At 44.9% G+C, this 4,168-nt stretch overlaps 1 pseudogene; it reads right to left on the reverse strand.

Annotated features, from left to right (window-relative positions):
- RN7SL553P (RNA, 7SL, cytoplasmic 553, pseudogene) lies at positions 2,671-2,968 on the reverse strand (annotated as a pseudogene).

A 4,168-nucleotide genomic window follows, 5' to 3' on the forward strand; every position in this document is an offset into this window, starting at 1 on the left:
TTCATTATCATTTTTCTTTTGTAATCTACATTTAATGTTTTACCTGCTGCCCATTTGAGCTTGGGAGAAGAGGCAGGGGTGTCTGGGGATGAGAAATATCGGCCAGTTGGCTGCAGTTAATTTTTCATAAGTCTCATTTATCGAAATCTGTAATTTGAACACGGCTGTTCTTTGAAATGTTCCAGTCTTTCTGAGTTCAATCAATTTCTTTCTTTTTTTTCTTTAACCCACTCCGCCATTCAATCAATTTCTTAATCATGTAACAACAGCGTGAGCCTTTGAAAACCAGACACAGGCTACAGAAAACTACACATGTTCTCTTTCACAGGGTGCAGAATATGGAATTTGATGCCTCCTCCACAAAAACTCATCAAATAGCACTGCACATCTGAGTGGCTTGGGGAGGGAAAAAAATGTATTTTTAAATGAAAGAAAAGAAAATCAGAAATGATCATTGTTAGATGAACAAAAAAAATCAGGATCTCAACAGCACCTGATGAAAGGCAAATTATACTATTCACATTGATCGCTTTTTCTTTCTTTTTTCAAATGATTTATTATCCTTTGATATCACAATCAGTTAGCTTGCTTGCTGCGGCATAAATATTTGATCTTGGAGTAACGTTTTTGACGACTGCTTTTTGCTACAGCCGGACTTTGCCTCCAACTTTCCTTGATTAAATAGAGGAGGCAAATATGAGGTGCGCAAAGAGAATAGAAATAAGTGACCTGGAATTTATCCAAGTAAAGAGAAAGCCCCAGGAAATGTATGAATATTGGCAGGGAGAAGCTCCACAACTGTTTCCTGGTGCTGGAGGAGGTGTGTCCTCTTTCGGTTTGTTTTGTGCCTGCCTGCCTGCCTGCCTGCCTGGGGACAAGCAGAATACCATGGAATTCATTTTTTCTTCAAACTGTATTCTTTGGTTCTTTGGTTATTATTGAAGCGAGCTGTATATGGAGGGGCTGGTATTTTCAGACAGTCATTGTATGTGCCAAGATTCAGGCTGAATAAAGTGGCTGGGAGACGGCGAACATTTCATTGCTTTCCCAATGGTACATCCCTAATTGTAGATCCTCGAGAAAAGGGTGCAGCTGTGAGAAGTTTGCAGCCAGTCCTTACAGCAACTTGGGATTGAAAATACCTGGTAAGGCAAGATCTGGGTAGGGCACTGACTGCCCCGACTCCCTCTAACACCCACTGACTCCAGTTCTGTTTTCTGAGTTCACACAAAACAAAGCTAGCCCAGTGTCCAAATACTTGAAGACAGCGTCTTATCCTCATTCTTGGCTGCACTCATCTCTTCTTTAGGTTAAAAAAAAATTATTTTTTTTGAGACAGAATCTCGCTCTGTTGCTCAGGCTGGAGTGCAGTGGTGCGATCTCAGCTCACTGCAACCTCCGCCTCCTGAGTTCAAGCAATTCTCGTGCCTCAGCCTCCCCAGTAGCTGGGACTACAGGTGCCTACCACCGTGCCCGGCTAATTTTTGTATTTTTAGTAGAGACGGGGTTTTTCTATGTTGGCCAGGCTGGTCTCCACCTCCCAGCCTCAAGCAATCTGCCCACCTCGGCCTCCCAAAGTGCTGGGATTATGGGCTTGAGCCACTGCACTCAGTCTCAAATTTGGTTTAACCAAAGCTCCCTTGTCATGGTTTAAAGTCTTGCAATCACCCTCATAACTTTCCTTTGGAATCCATGCTCCAGATTGAAATTTTGACTTCTGCTTGAGTCTGTGTGTGACATGGAGGAGAGGATACGGCGGTGTGCGGAAGGATGGCTCTACAGCCCTTTCTTCATCTACAAAGCAGGGAATGTAGTATCTACCTTCTGGGGTATCATGAGGAGGACATGAACAATGCTTGGGAAGGCCTTGGCCCAGTGCCTGGCACGAGACCATCATTCAGAACATGGTGGCTAATATTAGAATTCCCTTTAAGAGCGTCATTTGAAGTCAGTCCTTGAGGCTGCCTGCCTATTCCCTGGCCTGGAGGGCTTGTCTTTTTGGTTCTTAGTGGTTCTGGTTTATTCCCTTGCTCTGACCTTGTGTTATCAAAACAAGGCAAGTGCTGATGTGACTCAGTGTCAGTTAGCATTGCCACTTGCTTGGGTGATTTCCTTCAGTTCTCTGTTCCCCGGCTGCCTCCTGGGAAAATTATGCCTTCCTTGCAAAGTAGTGGGATTAAGACAGCCTGTAAAGGAGCTGGCATGGAGCAGCTCAATACATGGCCAGAAAGACTATCATCTTCCCCTCTAGGTCCCTCCCATTCTTTGCTTCCTTTGTTTATTCTCATTCCTCAGATCTCAGTTCAAACGTTGCCTTCTTAAGGAGGACTTCTTTGACCCCTCCATCTGTTACTTACTATTACTCTTACGACCATTTTGAGCGTAATTACTTATTTGTGTTATGTACATGTTTATTCTGTCTTTCCCATCAGACTCTTAAGATGCATGATCGCGGGGACTTGGTGCTGCTTTCTGCGGTATACCTAGGGCCTAACACATAGCACACCTGCAATATATATTTACTGAATAAATCATAACTGTCTTTACTCTGATAGAGAAGGCTAAAGGCAGACTAAAATGAATTTTCCACCACTAGAATTTTCAAACATGGCATAACTATCTGTATGTGGCTTTAAGCGAACTCCCTAGTACCAGATTCTTTTTGTTTTAAGAGACAGGGTCTTGCTGTGTTGCCCAGGCTGGAGTGCAGTAGCTATTCATAGGCATGATTTGATTACTCATCAGCACGGGAAATTTGACCTGCTCTGTTTTCCACCCAGGCTGGCTTACCCCTCCTTAGGAAACTTGTGGTCCCCCACTCCCAGGAGGTCACCGGGTTGATGCTGAACCTAGTGTGTACACCCAATTGGCACAGCACACTACAGCCCAGAACTCCTGGGCTTAAACAATCCTCCTATCTCAGCTTCCTGAGCAGCTGGGACTACAGGCACGTGCCACCAGGCCTGGCTGAAGTGCCAGATTCTATGGTTCCATGACTACAGTGTTGAATCCAGGTTCATGAAATGGACGTCCAAGGCCCAGTACAGTACCTGTTGCTTGTAAATAGGATTCTGAAATTCTATTCCCATATCCAAGTTTCCTCTCCTACCAGCGTGCTCTCTCTGAGTTTAATCTTCATCCTTTACCCACCCTTCTACCAGCTTTCCTATTAAAACTGGCCAGCGTTTTTCCAGCACTTACCATTTGCCAGGCACCCTCCCCAGTGCTTTATGTACATTGTCTTGAGATTCACTCTTTGAGATTGAATCATGAGAATTTTCGTTTTATAGATAATGGAATTAGGCTATGACCATGGATTCCGAAGAGAAGGAGAGAGAGTGGGAAGCCAGGAGAAAGCAAATATTGTCAAGCATGGAAAATGGAAGATAGGAATCGAGTATGGGAGTCCCCATAAACTGGTAGTTGGGACAAAACCAATTACAAACCAGTCAAAAAGGCAGAAGTCACCAATCTCAAGCCCAAGAGGGTCAACCTGAGTCAGGAGCCCAGCCATGTGCAGGCACCAGGGTCAAAGACAAGCAGTGGGCACTCAAAGACATCCTCCCAAAGCACCATTTGATGTGGCCATCTCGGTTGTTTCCTGCTGGGGCACTCTCCTACAATTGGGTCAGCACTGTGCGGCATGGTGTGCCATGGCATGCTCCACCTAAAGTTTGGTGGTGAAAATAGAGCTGGGCGCACCCATTATGGAGAAGGCAGGTGGAGGATATGAACAGAATCTGTCAGAGAGTATGTTACTCGGCCAGAGTAGGACTCCGCGGTAAAGGCATCTGCAGAAACAAAACACATTTTTAAAGGCATCTTCACCAGGGCTGTTCTTTGAAAATGGGACAGAAACCTTTCAAATGTCAAGAGACCGGGTTTTTGCCAAGGCAACAGAATGCTAAGGACTGGAAGGAAAGATTCTTATTACAAAAAGGTGCTAAATTCTGGAGTCGGATTTAATTATACCTGAGGTATTTCTGAATTGGTGTGTGGGTGGGAGGCTCTGCCTCTCCTTCTATTGCTGTTATCATCTCATGGGTCTACAGCTTAATTCTTCCCACCATGGGGCTCCTTAGTCAACTTTCCAATCTCCCAACTCCCACTGAGATGCAGTTTCTGGCAAAGCACTCAACCGCCAACGAAAGGTGCCCACTGAGTCTCT

The sequence above is a fragment of the Homo sapiens genome, chromosome 3, assembly GCF_000001405.40.
Source record: "Homo sapiens chromosome 3, GRCh38.p14 Primary Assembly".
NCBI classification, from domain to species: Eukaryota; Metazoa; Chordata; class Mammalia; order Primates; family Hominidae; genus Homo; species Homo sapiens.